The 18,522-nt window shown below is 37.0% G+C and overlaps 1 protein-coding gene and 1 long non-coding RNA gene across 3 annotated transcripts in view; one reads left to right on the forward strand and one right to left on the reverse strand.

The window, feature by feature from the left end:
- Positions 1-18,522, forward strand: part of PHLDB2 (pleckstrin homology like domain family B member 2) — a 244,022-nt gene that overhangs the window by 86,811 nt on the left and 138,689 nt on the right. The window lies entirely within an intron of this gene.
- LOC105374040 (uncharacterized) overlaps positions 1-18,522 on the reverse strand; it is a 61,639-nt gene that overhangs the window by 20,129 nt on the left and 22,988 nt on the right. For both annotated transcript variants that reach the window (XR_924333.4, XR_001740850.3), the window contains exon 2: positions 16,417-16,592. This is a non-coding gene — a long non-coding RNA (uncharacterized LOC105374040). The remainder of the gene's footprint in view (positions 1-16,416; positions 16,593-18,522) is intronic.

Raw genomic sequence — 18,522 nt, forward strand, 5'->3', positions numbered from 1 at the left:
ACGACAAATCTTCGAGACTTCAAACATGTAGAATTGTAACCAATATTTTGTCAAGGGAATCCATAAAAAGCCAAGGTAGATAACCCATCTGAATTCAATGCCACTTAGTCTTTTTCAAGTCTAATCATCTGAAATAGAAGACCTTTCTGCATCTTTAATTCATGGCAAAGCCAGAGATATCTGACTACACTGATTACTTCCCACCTGGGGGACAATGAGTACAGGAGAGCTTCATTTCAAGTTCTAGGCATTCTTCTTTTCTTTTTGAGAGAATTTGTACAACAGAGAATTTTGAGAAGCTGGATAAAATGCCCAAAAAACCAAAGTGGGTGTCCTAGAAATATCATGAGTACATTCTCTATGGATATACTATGCTTCCTCTCAGAAAACAAACCCACTATTATCTCAACCCCAGTGTCGTTTGTCCTTCAGAAGATACCTTGCTTATTTGTCCTTTAGAATATACAATGACTTATTCTAATTTTCTTTTATCTGTTTACCCCAAAGACAAACAAATACCAATGGAATCTGAGAGTTTAATTGTCAAGATGCATCCACATTTATCAAATAAATTACTGAGTTTGAAACCAAACAAGGTTGACAAGTCCTCATTTAGTAACCGCATCTGGCATGGTATGAAATGTCTTGCAGGCTTTCGTGGTAATGAAGCTTTGAAGAAAAGTAGTGTTCACATAGGAAGTCTAACCAAAAGGAAACTTGGATTAAGGTCAAACCATCCTTGCCCTAGTGGCTTGAGGTTGTTCCTCTTTGTTTTTCTTGAGCTCTCTAGAGAGGGTCTGACCATATTCTTCCGCCCCTAACTACCACATGTAGAATCACAGCATTGGCAGGGGACTTGGTGGTCAGCTAATCTAAACCTTTATTTGAGTCACAAATTCCTCCACTGTTGTAATGATTGACAGAGATGGTCTAGAGTACAAATGAATGTCTGCATACTCTGAGTCGAAATAGTTCAAAGTTAAAAACGAAGTTAAAATGGTTAAAGAAATGTTTTTTTCTTCCAAAATTGATTTTAAAAAATACCTTGATAACCTCTTGGAAAACAAAATTGAAGTTTAGAATTCTCAGACCCCTTGGCATTCTACTCTAGTGGAACTATATACTATAGTGGAAACACTATAGTGATGCAAGGAAAGCTAGTCCTGGCTCAGACTGAAAGTCCTCTCTTTTCAATCTCTTTTGTGATCCATTCTACACTATATTTACTGTGTCTCATATGTGTTGTGTCTCACACTAGCCCACAACTATAAGTTCAATCCACATAACTTACAACCAGTGGCCCCATGGCCACCTCTCAGATCTAAATGTATGTACCTTTGAGAGAGCAGATCTTCACAGGCCCTGAACAAGGAAGTTGGGCATGGAATTTCCAGACCTGGATTCTCCAGTTTGTGGTCAAGAAGGAGGAGGAAGAAGAGGAGTAAAGCAAAGAAGATAGGGCCAGAGGGGCATGGCCGGAATGAGGCTCTATAAATGTGAGAACTATGGCACATATCCCGTTGCCCAAGTATAAGGACAGTACTATAGTTTATCAACACCAGGAGTTGTCAGGATATTAACACACTTCAGAATTAAAATAGCAGCATATCACTAGAACAAATTCCAGAGTCAAGCAAGATTTTGCCTTCAGACTTCAGCAGCCAAAATGTGCTAGTTGGGAGAGTGCAATTCCAGAACCGAGGTTTAGTTCCAAGAGCCCCTGAAGTTCTCCTCTCCTGGAGACTTCAGGAAAAGTCTCCTTTTAGGTCTTATGTGGGTTCCATGTCAGGGTCCCCAGTGATTCTGAGTATCCAGTGTAAGTCTTAGCTGAATCGGGCCTGCTTTCAGCAACTGTCCCAAGATGAAACCCAAAGAAATATATGTCCCACTGCCATGATAGATTTTGAATGTCTTTTCTGGTCAGACCAGGCTCATTGTTCTTCTAAGACCCAAGACACTGCGCCAGAGAGCCTAAATCCATGCTGTGGAGAATATGTGATGCGTCTGTATTAGTCAAGGTTCCCCAGAGAAACACAACCAATGGATGAGAGACAGAAGTGGGAGAGACAGACAGAGAGAGATTTATTTTAAGGAATTGACTCACATGATTATGGAGACTAGCAAATTCAAAATCTGGAGGGTAGGTCAGCAGTCTGGAGACCAGGGAAGGTTTGATGCTGTAGCTCGAGGCCAAAGGTAGTATGCTGATAGAATTTTTTCTTTTTGAAGGGAAATTAGTCTTTTTTCTCTTAAGGCCTCCAACTGATGGGATGAGGCCCATCCACAATATGGAGGTAAACTGCTTTATTTAAAGGTTGCTCATTTAAATATTAATCTTAAAAAAATACCTTCACAGCCACATTAGACTAGCATTTGACCAAATATCTGGGTACCATGATGTAGTCAAGGTGACACACAAAATTAACCATCACCAGCTCCATGACAGCTAATTTGTTCTTGAACACAACAGCAGGTGATGCTACTAAAAATAAGACGTTGTTTGCCACGTGCTATTACATTTTGTAAAGTTCTATTTGAACATGTTCCTCTTACTACCTACCCAGGAAAATACCAGTAACCTAGGGGAGGCCCAGCAGGCTCTAATGGTCTAATGGTCTGAAACTTCAGGCTTTATTTTCATTCCAGGCTGCTGGCAGGCAAAAATGTTTAGTATTGAAAAGATATATAACCTCTGTGGGGTAGCAGCTTTACTAGGCATGACCACATTTCTACAGGAAGAGTTTGAATTTCAGTTTTCAGGAAACCCTATATTTGGCAAATTTGGGTGATATGTCAAGCCCCATAAATAAAAGCAGGCCAGGTTATATATAATTATACTGATTACCTTTCCAGTCCACTTTTTGATGCCAGAACCTGAGGTAGTATATTTAGGTATTAGTTTCTCACATGTTGCTCTCCTCTATTTCCTTCATACTTTGCATCAGAAAAAAAAAATGTTTCTTTCTCTCTGTCTCTCTATCTTTATGTATGTGTGTGTGTGTGTGTGTGTGTATATATATATATATAATGGTACACTGAAAACAACTTGTTCTGCCAATATTCGAACAACTGTTTTCCTTGTGAAAATGAAAGGCAGGTGTAGAAGAGATACCTCTTAGACTCCTCTCAATTCCAAAAATGTCAAGGAAAGTCAGGAACTTTCAGTGAACATATAAAGTAGCCTCAACTGTCAGAATTGAAAATCTCCTTGAGCAGTCTTTAGACCACCACACATTTCTAGTATTTGCTTGCCCCATCTTAAAGGATGGGAATTTTCTGTATTACAGTGAAAATTCAATGTCTAAAATCAAAATCAGATACAGCACCTTTCCTATGAGCTCTGGTAAACATTGGCAAGTTGCAGAAGATAAAGCCTGACGTCAAAGGAAATTAAGCTAACAACGTGAGCTCTTCTCTTATTCCAATCTTACCTCCTTGGTCCAAATTCCCTGCTTGGGACCAATACCAAAAGCCACCAGAACTTTTCTTTCCTTTATTTACTGATCACATACTATATAATTAATACAGCTCTATAAATCATGAAAGTCCTTGTCTTGGAAGAACTCTCTGTTTAGCCCTCGGAAAAAAAAATATGCACATAATTATAACATGTCTGGTTAAGTAACAGATTTATGCAGCAATAGCATGGGGACAAAGGAAGGGCATTGGAGGCACTAGGCAACATGCTTTCCTGGAAGGAGCTTCAGTGATGATGTCTGTATCACATGGTCAAAGGAGCAGCAGCAGTGCCATTAGCAGCACATAGTACCACCAAGGTGATGCTGGAGTACTCAACCAGGACAGCTTCCAAGTGGTTGCAAGCCAGGAGGCCTAAGGGACCAGGAGGAAGTGGGAGTTGGGAAATACCTTGATCATCTCCTCCATTTTGAGCCAAAGTTCTTGACTTAATGGAGCTGCAATTTCAACAGTTCCCCCTAATGAGAGCTGGGATGTGGAATAGGTGTTCAATAATTTGCATATACCCCAAGCTAGCATGCCTGAGAAAATACTTATTCTGTTATTTTCAGAGACTTCCAGATAATACCCCATTTCAATGAATTCAACTTAGAAGTTTCAAAAAAGTTGCACCATATCGTAGTGCTTGAAGGAAGGTATTTATCACTGAATTGTAGATTCATATTTGTAGATGACAAGTTTTTAAGGAAAACAATGCCCCTAATCACTGATCTCAAGAGTCCTCTTAGAATAGTCAGTGGGTCAACGGAGTGGAATCTGCATGACATTCCTCTCACTAGCCCTTAGGTTTCTACACTGACCAAATAGTTTACCAGACTTTCACAAACCTAGCAAAGTCTTATCTATTCACATCTACATATAGATAAATTCACAGCAAACTTAAATGACAGACAATTGTACAATCACGATCAGTATGTGTTAACTTTTTTTGATCTTTCAAATAACTTGGTCATTATATAATGAAGAAATGTATGCTGGGTTCACATACCACTGAGAGCTATAAAGAAAATATGTCTTGTTTTCCCTGTGACTGGCCTGACGTTCCTCACCAGCCCCCTTGCCTGCATAGCACTGCAGTATGTGTGTATGTGTGAGGAGATGGTGGAGGGGGTACAGACCTAGTTTAATCCACTAGTCGTATCTGTCTCTTTAGGTAACTTAGTTTCATCTGGGATTACTCATAAAAAGTTTCAGAGCCTCCTTTCCTCTATTAAGAGTGAGCAAGAAGTTCTGACACAAAATGTGCTTAAGAGCAGGGCAGTCAGTCACAGGATTATTGCTCTATTACTTCTCTGTCTGCAGATAACTTGAAACCATCCTCTCTCCTTGCTTTGAAAAGCAATAAAATTCTTAGCCATACCCTCTGATCTTCCAACCCACTTGCTGGTCGGTTCTTTTCTCTCTGTCTTCTCCCTATAAACAGGTTTTTTATCTGCCTCATTTGGTAGCTTCGACTGCCAAATCTTACTCCGTATGAATTTCACAGTGGTTTTCTTCCTTACTGCATAGGCCTACTCCTCCCAGGAACTCTGGAGTGGCTGTTAATGGTGGCCTAAAGCATCCATTTTCCTTTCTTCCTTTCCAACAGAATGGAAGATATCCACCCCTTTCTGGCCAGGTATCTACTTCTTTCTGACTCAGCCCACAACCTCAATAGCCTGACTAGCCAAAGAGTTATCTAATAACTTTTCCCACTGTTGGTTCTGGAGTGAACGTGTGACCCAAATCAACTAAAGGTCTCCAGAGGAAACGTTTCCTTATGCTTGAGGGACCTTTCAGGAAGCAAGTCTTTCCTACACCAGAAGTGGAAGTAAAAGCATGTAGCCCTGATTGCAGCTGGCAGCTGTGGGAAACTGTCCTCAGAATGAAGCCTGTGTTCAGCAGAACCTAGAGCTGAAAAGCATCTGAGTCCATGAACCTGAAGCCCAGTGAATCTATGATGTATAGTTACACGAGTCGATGGTTTTCAACATGGCTTAAGCTAATTTGACAAACTTGTGGCTGAAAGTATTCTAACAGACGCAAACTTCGTTGGACATTTTAAAGTATGTACTCTGTGGAAAAGCAACTGATAATTGCCTTTTTTAGTTATAGGTGCATGAATAATTCACTCTGCCTGAGTGTTCTTGAAAAATGTGGAAAAATTGTTCCTTATATATCCACTTGTAGACCCTTTACCTTTCTATATTATCTCTTAATGGCCTCATCTGCTCACGTAAATAACTTAAAATTTAATCTCTACATTTAAAGGAAGACTATTTCATGGTAAACCCCTGAGAAGAAATTTTTGTGCTTTTAGCATGCTCACCATTTACAGGTAAGAAGACAAAAATACTGAGAAGAAAAAGATTTGCTCAAACCTACAAATTTCCATAATCTAGGTAATTGTCACAAGTACAAATCACTGTAGGACAATTGAGCAAACATACAAAAGGTTGTGACTTTGACAAGCTGGATCCAGATTCTTAACTTTGCCAGTACAATTCTACTTTGGTGATATATGAAGATTATTACACTATCAAAAAGAGAGGTCCTTGGGGAGACTGTAAGCTATTAGTTTCAAAAGATTCTCATCTTCTTGAAGACAGATGTAGGAAAATCATATTGACCATGCTTACAGTAGAGTAAAAAAAATAGCCATTCTACATTGAAGGAACATACAAATCACATTTCCTCTTTTGTGTGACGTAATCTCCCTCTGTTACCCAGGCTGGGGTGCAGTAGCACCATCTCGGCTCATGGGAGCCTCTGCCTGATGGGTTCAAGCTGTTCTCGTGCCTCAGCCTCCTGAGTAGCTGGGATTACAGGCGTGCACCACCATGTCTGGCTAAATTTTGTATTTTTAGTAGAGACAAGATTCTGCCATGTTGGCCAGACTGGTTTCAAACTCCTGGACTCAAGTGATCTGCCCACCTTGGCCTCCCAAAGTGCTGGGATTGCCGGGGTGAGCCACCTCACCATGCCTGCCCACACTTCCTCTTTTAAATAACCCTTTAAGTGCTGCATCTTTATGAAGGTTTTTTTAATTTGAATCTTCTTAATTTTTGGCTCACAAACCTTTATAAGAGAGCTAGAAAAGAAAAATAAGGTTGAAATAAAATCAATTGGTTGTTCTGTGGTTATTTTAAGAAGTGTAATTTAAGTTTCATTTAAGAAAGTTTTCTGTAATAAAATTTGGATTATTTTATTTTTGTCATTTTTCCTTATTACATTTATTATTATTAATATTATTATTAGGCCGAGCATGGTGGCTCATGCTTGTAATGCCAGCACTTTGAGAGGCTGAAGTGGGAGGATCACCTGAGGTCAGGAGTTCGAGACCCACCTGGCCAACATGGTGAAACCCCATCTCTACTAAAAATAAAAATAAAAAGAATTAGCTAGGCATGGTGGCACGTGTTTGTATTCTCAGCTACTAGGGAGGCTGAGGCAGGAGAATTGCTTGAATCTGAGAGATGGAGGTTGCAGTGAGCCAAGAGCATGCCACTGCACTCCAGCCTGGGCAACAGAGCAAGGCTTTGTCTCAAGAAAAAAAAAATTTAATTCAAATATAATTTTAAATAAGACCTTGAAAATATACCAATCAAGTAAAATTGCTTCAATAGGGTATTTGCTGGGGGATTTCCAATTATTCAAGGGGATAAAGCTGGCACATTGGTGAGAAGACCACCCACATACTCTTTACATCTAGAAAGTGTAGTTTTCTTAGGTACGTGGGCAATCCTAAACACTTGTGCCAGATTTCCTTTCCTTGCCAAAGCACTGAAGAATCTTGGCAGCTAAACAAAGAATTGAACCCTACATTTTCTATCAGGTAAGTAGAGTTCTGGCTAGATGAAAGCATGATAACAGTAAAACAAAGAGGAAATCCTTAATACCCAACAGTAATGCCGCAGTTTTGCTCCACGGCCAGGGTAGGAATGCAGGATCTTTGGCAATTCTGCCAGGGGAGGTGTAGTCATGTGGTGGTGGCGTGGGAGTGGGTGCAGGGAGTGGTTTGATCAGCTGAACCAGAGCCGTCTGAGAGAAGGTTCTATGGCTCTCTTCTTCTGGGAGCAGCCTGCCTCTAGGAGGCTGCTCATTATTTAGGATGAGTAGTAAGGGAGAAATTACTGCCTCTGCTGATGATGATGATGGAAATGACGTGATGATTTAGAAAAAGAAAATGATGATGGCCGACATTTATTGAGTTCTTGCTATGAACTGCAGTTAAACGCAAATGCTTTTTGTGCATTAGCTCATGTCACAATGTCCAAGAGAAAAAAGGAAAGGAAAAACAAACAAAAAACAGAGGTGCTACTAAGTCACTTCCTTATAATTTCTCACCTAGAACAACCTGCAAACTAGTCTCTTTAGGCTTGTCCTGTTCAAATTGATCCTCCAACCTATCAAACTGACTTATTTAAGACAGAAATGTGACCACATCCTTCCTCTAACCTTTTAACCAGCTGTCTGTTGCCTACCAGGCAAAATCCAGGGCCCTTAGTATGGCTTTTAAGGAGAGCCTTTCAGAACTGAGCTCCTACTGCCTCTGCAGCCTAAGCTCTTACCACACCCGACTACCTTCTGGCCAAATCCCACTCTGTTATGACTCGGTTAAGGAAAGACCAGGCCGGGCGCGGTAGCTCACGCCTGTAATCCCAGCACTTTGGGAGGCCCAGGTGGGCGGATCACGAGGTCAGGAGATAGATACCATCCTAGCTAACACGGTGAAACCCCATCTCTACTAAAAATACAAAAAATTAGCCGGGTGTTGTGGCAGGCGCCTGTAGTCCCAGCTACTCGGGAGGCTGAGGCGGAGAATGGCGTCAACCCGGGAGGCGGAGCTTGCAGTGAGCCGAGATTGGAGATTGTGCCATTGCACGCCGGCCTGAGCGACAGAGCGAGACGAGAATCCGTCTCAAAAAAAAAAAAAAAAAAAAAAAAAGGAAAGACCAAAAACTGAGCAACTCGGTTCAGACTGTTTCTTCCTGGGAAGCTTCATGCTCACCCACTTGTTCAACTGCATTATAAATATGCTACACTGTGAGCTTCTGTAGGTAGAGTCTCAGGGCTTACTAGAGTGCTTGGCACAGTCTAAGGGCTCAGTACATATTTCCAAATGAAAACAATGAAAAGATAGACATGGAAGTCTGGCAGAAGGAGATAAAAATGTCACCTTCATTACTATAAAGCTGACAAAGGAGGGTATAGCTTACGTGCAGTGCAACAGAGGACTTCCTAAAACTGCATTCCAAAATTAGGTAGACTAACAGCTATTCACAGTGCACCTCCCCATAGGGGCCTGCCTCTGTAAACCAGACCACAAAGGAGCTCAGCCACTGTAGCTCCTGAGGTCAGCTAGCTCTCAACTACACAGAACCAGTGTATTTCCCAAATGCTCCCATGGAAGAGTTTCCCCTTCTCTTCTGGGGCAGAGTGAACCAACTGGGAGAGAAAGGCCAAGAGAGTTATAGCAACTGAAGTCCAACTGCTTTGTAAACACAGAGGCAGCTGAAGTTGCCCTGCCCCAGCCCCAATATCCTCCTGTGCACTGATTGATTTAGATGCTGGTAATGCTTCCTACCAGTGACAGGGAACTTCCAGTCTATCTGTCAATGGATCATCTTTTGATTTCCCCTATCTAATTTCCCCTGCTCAGGTAATCTATGAACACATATTGAATGACATACTTAATAAACATTTTATGAATATTTTTAAATAGTTTTGGCTTTTAAAAGACTGTGGCCAGGCACAGTGGTTCACGCCTGTAATCCCAGCACTTTGGGAGGTTGAGGCTGGCGGATCGTTTGAGCCCAGGAGTTCGAGACCAGACTGACAACACAGGGAGACCCTGTCTCTACAAAAATTAGCCGGGTGTGGTGGTGTGCACTGGTAGTTCCAGTTGCTCAGGAGGTGAATGTGGAAGAATCATTTGAGCCTGGAGGCAGAGGATGCAGTGACTAGCCAAGATTGCGCCACAGCACTCCAGCCTGGGCGACAGAGTGAGATCTGTCTCAAAAACAAAATGAACAAACAAACAAACAAACAAAAAAGATTATACCTTCCACTTGACTCAGTCAATTTAATGAAACCTAGAAAACATCTATTGAGTCCCTGCCAAATGCCACACACTGTGTAGTATAAATATGAAGACATCACAGTGGTCCTCTGGTATTAGCCAACCAGCCAAACCTACTGGATCTTTTCTCTTAGAGGAAAGGGAATATAGACGCTTGTTAGATCAAAAGGAACACATATAAATGTTGACAATGTTTTTTCTAATTTCCAAATGTTTTTCTGAGTAGCTAAGTGACTGTTCACCCAGAGTTTTAGACATTTCCCTTCTCCTATTGACAGCATTAATTAGAGCCAACACACTAAAATTCTAAAAAGTCATGGAAACCTCTGAAGGGCCATTTATCTTCCCACATCTCTCCCACATTGCCCCATCTCGCAAAGGCATGCAATTACTAAAGAGAAGAACTGGGTGAAAGAGTTGGATGGATTGTTCAAATCCATCACTATGACTGAAAAACAACTCAAACTAGCCAATGGATTGTTTCTCCTCCCTAAAGGAAGGTATCATGCTCACTCAACTCTCCCATCCTGGATTCCTGGTTCTTCCATTATTCTTTTGTTTAAAAAAAAAAAAAAAGTCCTAACATCTGATATTTCTTTTTCTTTTTCTTTTTCTTTTTTTTTGGTTTTTTTTTTTTTTTGAGATTGAGTCTTGCTATTACCAGGCTGGAGTACAGTGGTATGATCTCAGCTCACTGCAACCTCTGCCTCCTGGGTTCAAGCGATTCTCCTTCCTCAGCCTTCTGAGTAGCTGGGATTACAGGCACATGCCACCACGCCCAGCTAATTTTTGTAGTTTTAGTAGAGACGGGGTTTCACCATGTTGGTCAGGGTGGTCTCGAACTCCTGACCTGGTGATCCGCCCGCCTTGGCCTCCCAAAGTGCTGGGATTATAGGCATGAGCCACCGCGCCCGACCAACATCTGATATTTCTAAGAATTCTATTTTGTATATTATTTAACTAGGTTCTAGAAGACCACCCACAGTTTTTCACTAGATCCTAAACTCACAATACTTTTTTTTGTTTTTTTTATTTCATATCACCTTACATTTTCTTATCACCAAACTGACAGAACTATTCAAAACACACACACACACACACACACACACACACACACACACACACACAGCAAAACCAAGAATTCCTAAAAGATTTAGATTCAGAGTCTACTCTCAATTTCAACTTCTTAGCCAAGCCACTAAAGAGAAATTTGTAATTTTGTTTCTCCTATCCACTCACCAACTATAGTAAATGATGCATATAAAGCTACTAAAATTTGGAGCAGGCCTCCACTTTCTCTGCATTGTTCCTGACTGCCAGCAAAACAGCTTTTACTCTTTCCTCCTACTTCGAGGCCTCTATCAGATTAGTGGTGGCAGCATAAAGTAATTTCTAAAGGTACTTCCATTTTCACTTTGCAATTGCTTGGAAGCATATATTGCTTAATAAGCAGGGAAACTGAGGCTGGTATTTCTGCTTAGAAAGAAACGAGACTGACAAAATTAAAGCAATCTAAAATTCTTTATCTTACATGCGACATTTTTCTGTTAATTTATGAGATATCATATGGCTTGATAACAGTGATTTAAAAAAAAGAATATATGTGGCTTCATGGGTATGTATAAATCTTTTGTTCTGAAATACCATGAATAAGGAACATGGCAAAAAAAAAAAAAAAAAAAGGGCCGGGCGCGGTGGCTCACGCCTGTAATCCCAGCACTTTGGGAGGCCGAGGCGGGCGGATCACGAGGTCAGGAGATCGAGACCATCCCGGCTAAAACGGTGAAACCCCGTCTCTACTAAAAATACAAAAAATTAGCCGGGCGTAGTGGCGGGCGCCTGTAGTCCCAGCTACTTGGGAGGCTGAGGCAGGAGAATGGCGTGAACCCGGGAGGCGGAGCTTGCAGTGAGCCGAGATCCCGCCACTGCACTCCAGCCTGGGCGACAGAGCGAGACTCCGTCTCAAAAAAAAAAAAAAAAAAAAAAAAGGCAGCACATCCCAGAGTCTAAGCATATCATTGTCAGCATGAGGGGCGGTGGGATCTTAGGGGACTCATTATATTTCCACATTTTATTTTCTAGAAAGAAAGAAAAGAAGGAAAGAAAGAAAGAGAAAGAAAGAAAGAAAGAAAGAAAGAAAGAAAGAAAGAAAGAAAGAAAGAAAGAAAGAAAGAAAGAAAGAAAGAAAGGAAGGAAGGAAGAAAGAGAAAAGAGAGAGATAGAGAGAAAAGAAGGAAGAAAGAAAGGCATGAGCCATGACACTTTTTAAAAATCCCTACCTATACTTAATCAGAATCTACAGGAGATACGATAAATAAAAGAAAATTGTAGATAGTAGAATCATAAATATTTTAGGGACTTCTGCAAATCACTTTGCATATGCATTTTTTAAAATCTCAAATGTATTATTTATACTTATACAATATGCATTAAATATTGAAAAGGATTTCGAAAGAGACTTTCACGTATTAAAAAAATTCATCATTGGGCTTTGAAGATAATGTTTATTTAATAAAAACATCCAAGTGTTTCTTTGCCCAAAGCATTTTAAAGTAATGAAGAGAAAGTGGGTCTTCCCATGAGCACATTTGTAGGGACAGTAGGGGGGAGTTTGCAAAAATTTTCTTACAGTCATCAATTTAAACCCATCTGGAGAAGCAATCAGTAATTCTATAATAAAACACTGGCTCTACAACATACCACTATAATACCCCATGTGGGATCCATTTTTATAATGTGCTTACCCTATATTTAATATGTCTCAATACATAGTATTGTTCAAGACCAAGTTTGAATACCTGCTAATTTCACATGAGAAGAGGCAGACAGGGATATCTATCTGTATCTATCTAAACAGATAGATAATATAGATTATAGTTATAGGTATGGGTGATATAGATACGAATGCAGTGCAGATATAGATACATACCAACTTAAAAATGTAAATAAGTTTAAGGTGGGAATAGGCAAATTAATAAAGATTAGTTTCACAAGTAGGATGTTGTAGTACCTTCTGCCTCTCCTATTATGTTGAATCCAGGGTAAATTATTGGTCAGTCAGACAGATGTCCTAAGCTGGCCTTTAGGGTGAACAAGGCTGTGTCAGAGAGAGTTACTCCCTCCAATCCTAGGACCCAGCAGCAGTAAAAATGATCTGTGGTGCTGCTTCCCATGACACTGGCTCATGAGTTTTGCCTTTGACCCTCCAGTCTTAGCTGCAAGCTCTATTCATATCAACCACATCTTCTCTGAGCCCTACAAGAACCACAACCTGGAAAGCCTGCCCAGATACACCCTTGACTGCTGCCAGCAACTACCACAACTCTAACCACAATCCAACCCTTTGGTACAGCACCACTTCATACCAAATACAAGTTAATCTACATCTCTTTTTCTTTTTACAAGTTAATCTATATCTAATCAGTTTCTTTCCCCTGAATCCAACAATCTTTTCAACTTTACTGCTTCTGTTAATGGCATTGTTTGCTTTAATGGTATGAAATTTGCAAATATAATATGTTCTTATTTTTTAAAAAAACAAAAAACAAAAAAACAAAAAGATAAATTGTACCAATTAATCAAAGTAAATCTTGTAAGACCACTCCATTCCCACATCCTTCCATCCCCATTCCCCAGAGGAAAACAGCATTAATCTTAGTGTTGTTATTTTCCGACACTTAGGCTTTTTCCCGCTGTTAACAAAAATCATATGGCATTATATATATATAATGCCATTATATATGTAATATTATATATTATCTCTATATATATAGATACATATCAACTTAAAAATGTAAATAATGCCATTATACATATAATATATATAATAGAATTATACATATAATATATATAATAGAATTATACATATAATATATATAATAGAATTATACATATAATATATATAATAGAATTATACATATAATATATATAATAGAATTATACATATAATATATATAATAGAATTATACATATAATATATATAATAGAATTATACATATAATATATATAATAGAATTATACATATAATATATAATAGAATTATACATATAATATATATAATAGAATTATACATATAATATATATAATAGAATTATACATATAATATATATAATAGAATTATACATATAATATATATAATAGAATTATACATATAATATATATAATAGAATTATACATATAATATATATAATAGAATTATACATATAATATATATAATAGAATTATACATATAATATATATAATAGAATTATACATATAATATATATAATAGAATTATACATATAATATATATAATAGAATTATACATATAATATATATAATAGAATTATACATATAATATATATAATAGAATTATACATATAATATATATAATAGAATTATACATATAATATATATAATAGAATTATACATATAATATATATAATAGAATTATACATATAATATATATAATAGAATTATACATATAATATATATAATAGAATTATACATATAATATATATAATAGAATTATACATATAATATATATAATAGAATTATACATATAATATATATAATAGAATTATACATATAATATATATAATAGAATTATACATATAATATATATAATAGAATTATACATATAATATATATAATAGAATTATACATATAATATATATAATAGAATTATACATATAATATATATAATAGAATTATACATATAATATATATAATAGAATTATACATATAATATATATAATAGAATTATACATATAATATATATAATAGAATTATATATATAATATATATAATAGAATTATATATATAATATATATAATAGAATTATATATATAATATATATAATAGAATTATATATATAATATATATAATAGAATTATATATATAATATATATAATAGAATTATATATATAATATATAATAGAATTATATATATAATATATATAATAGAATTATATATATAATATATATAATAGAATTATATATATAATATATATAATAGAATTATATATATAATATATGTAATAGAATTATATATAATATATGTAATAGAATTATATATATAATATATGTAATAGAATTATATATATAATATATGTAATGGAATTATATATATAATATATGTAATGGAATTATATATATAATATATGTAATAGAATTATATATAATATATGTAATAGAATTATATATATAATATATGTAATAGAATTATATATAATATATGTAATAGAATTATATATACTATATATGTAATAGAATTATATATATTATATATGTAATAGAATTATATATATATTATATGTAATAGAATTATATATATTATATATGTAATAGAATTATATATATTATATATGTAATAGAATTATATATGTAATAGAATTATATATATATTATGTATATAATAGAATTATATATATAATTCTATTATATACATAATATATATAATTCTATTATATACATAATATATATAATTCTATTATATATATAATGGCATTATATATAATATATATATCAGATGACTATATATATAGTCATCTGATTTTTATATATATGTGTGTATATATATACACACATATAGCTTTACAACTTGCTCTTTTCACTTACAACTTATCATTCAGGTCAGTTTATCTAGATTTACCTCATTTTCATATCATTTGATTGTATGAACATATAGTAGTCTACTTAACCATGACCTTACTGATGGTATTATAGTTTCTCAACACTGTGTTATCACAAACAAGGATGCAGTAAATATCTCTGACATATAACTTTAAGTACTCTTGCCCTCATTTCTTTATAAGACAAATTTTTAGAAGTGAAATTGTTGAATCATAGGGGATCCTTTAATAAATGCTGCCAAATTATTGAGACCAATTTTGGACTTGCTTTTCTTATTTTAACTTTTTCCTTGGTAGACTCAAACCCAGCCAATCAAAGACTATGGAAATTTCCTTTGTAATATCATCCTGCAATTTATTCCTGACCTGATATCCCCTTGGCTATATTTTTAAGTCTTTTTTAGACCCTAACATTCTTGGACACTGACTTTAGCTTCGGAACTGGTTTTTATATATCCTTTCTACACATTATTGCCATAGTAATCTTCTCAAACCTTGCCTTATGCATATCACACCTTTGTAATTTTCCATGAGTCCCTAATGCCTAAAAAAGGAACCTTAACTATGCTTCAAGATCCCTCACAATCAGGCTACAATCCTTCTCATTTTGTCCCAAAATTTAAGAGAGAATGAGAGAGAGATTTACCATGAGCCTCTCATTCTTAGGCACTTGCACATGCCTTAAATATTTAATCCTTATATCAGTTTCAGAGTTTAATGATATTTTTATTACCATAAAAATATAGAAACTGATGGATTGGGGAAGAAACTTGCTTCCCATCACACAGCTGTAGCATCTAGAGCTGTGGTTTGTGTAGTATATCTGACTGCTAAGGTCATGTACTTAACTATCAAGCCATATTTCAACTCAATTTAGCAAATATTTATTCAACATATACTACATGCAAAGTACTTTATTAAGTGTTACAGAGATTTAAAAATGTGAAACGGATGGCACACAATTGACACTTAATAATGGTGCCTGCTTCCCCAGCAGCAGCTCCTTCCAGGTAGCTATACTTTATGCCATGTGACTCTGCCTCTGTCAATAGCTGGTGAAAATAATGGTAGGCACCTGTTCCCACTGTCGATTGCAGTGTAACAGACACCCCAAAACTCAGCGGCTTAAAACAATGACAGTATTTATGCTGCTCCAACTCTGCAATTTAGCTAAGGTTCAGAGAGAACATCTTGTCTCTGCTTCACTCAGCATCAGCTGGGGACACGAAAAGGATAGGACTAGGAATCATCTGAAATCTTACTCACTTGTCTGGAGGTTGGTGCTTGCTGTCAGCTGGGTCCTCAGCAGGAGCTGTCACCAGGAACACCTTACATAGTGACCCCATGTAGTCTTTCCTCTTCCTCACGACTCAGGGCCTAGGTTCCAAGGGCTAGCTTCTCCGAAGGGCCAGGAAGAAGTTGTCTGCCTTTTAGAGCTTAGCCTTGAAAAGCACATAGCATAGCATCACTTCCACTAGTATTTACAGGCCCATCCAGATCCAAGGGGAGAAATGTAGACCCCACCTCATGATGGAGGGCTGCCAATGTCACATGGTGGCATGAGCATGTAAGCCAGTGGGGCCATTTTTGTAATACAATCTGCCACAGCACCTACAGACATGCCAATGTCCTTTCAGAGAAAGATAATCCAACAACCAAATTCTTTTTCAATGATATGACTTAAGAACAACTTACAGAATAAAACAGCTGCTGGAGACTAATCTGAAAGGACAAAATGCAGAAAGAGAAGAAAGTGGCCATGATGAAGCATGTGTTCACTGAAGTTATGAGCCAAACGGAAGTCAGGAATAAGAAGCCCTGTTCACCTTTAAGTCCCCAACAGAGCACAGTGCCAAATGCATGGTAAGTGCTCACAGTTGTCATATGAAGAAATTCATGAATGCTGGAAAGAGGGAAAACAAAAGGAAGGGTAAGTTTGGAAAGGGAAGATGAGATTCTACAGAGATATGTTAAGTTTGAGAATCCAGTTCTAGCTCCTCACTGACGTGTCTAACAAGCAGTTAGGGATGTAGATCTGTAGCTCAGAAGAGAGAGCAAGCATTAGGGACAGGGCTTAGGAAGCCATGAACAAGGGAAGCTTTGGCTTTGAATAAGATTACCAAAGAATCTCGTATTAGTCCATTTTCACATGCTATAAAGAACCACCGGAGTCTGGGCAATTTATAAAGGAAAAAGATTTAATTGACTTACAGTTCCACATGGCTGAGGAGGCCTCAGGGACCTTACAATTGTGGCAAAAAGTGAAGGGGAAGCAAGGCACATCTTACATGGTGACAGGAGGTGAGGGGGACTGCCAAAAACTTTTAAACCATCAGACCTCATGAAAACTTACTATCAGGAGAACAGCAAGAGTGGACCACCCCGATGATCCAATCATCTCCCACCAGGTCCCTCCCTTGACACATGGGGATGACAATTCGAGATGAGATTTGGGTGGGACACAGAGCCAAACCATATCAAATCTACATTATTCAGGTGGAATAATGAAGTGGTTAACATTATAGACTTTGAATCTGAGAACCTGGATTTAGTGTCTGTAATACCTGCTTCACCACTTACTGTGAGTTTTCTTAGGTTTAGTTGTTTAATATCTCTGTACCTCAGTATCCTGTTATAACATTGTTATAGTAATGAAACTACCTCAGAGGGCTGTGTATTAAGGGGTATAATGCCTGCAAAGTGCTTAGAACACAGTCTGCATAGAGTAAGAAATCAGTGCACATTTGTTACCATAACTGTTATCGGTTTTTAAAAAATATCTAAAGTTTAGGAATGAACAGAGGAAGAGCCAGAGAATACTAGGCAGGAAGTTCTTACGCAACCTTGTACAATATTCCTTATAAAAGTTTGAAGTTACATTCATTCCTGAGTTGCCTAACATCAAACAGTTGATCTATTAATAAAGAGGGGGTGGCATGGAGAAGAGTGTGTTCTATATCAATCTCTCTCAAAGTCGTGCTCTTTGGGGTGCATAGTAATTTCTGTTGTGTCAAAAAAAGTGTGTGCTGTACTCAAATAAATCTGAGAAATGCTGGATTACACAAAATTAAGTAGATGTTTCCTCAGACCCTATACTAAATGCATATACTAATATGTCCCATGGCTTGCTAAGGAGGGGCTATAGAATGCATCATTTCCAAAACTCCTTAGTTTTTTTATGGGATCATTCTGTTAAACTGACATTCTGTGGGACACAATTTCTCAAAGCTAATCAAGGTTAGTATTAAGCTTACTACAGAAGACTTTCTTTGGAAACTTCTTACAAATACATATTACTGAACCTGGCCGGGCACGGTGGTTCACACCTGTAATTTCAGGACTGTGGAAGGCCAAGGCAGGAGGATAACTTGA

The sequence above is a fragment of the Homo sapiens genome, chromosome 3 (assembly GCF_000001405.40).
Source record: "Homo sapiens chromosome 3, GRCh38.p14 Primary Assembly".
Lineage (NCBI taxonomy): Eukaryota > Metazoa > Chordata > Mammalia > Primates > Hominidae > Homo > Homo sapiens.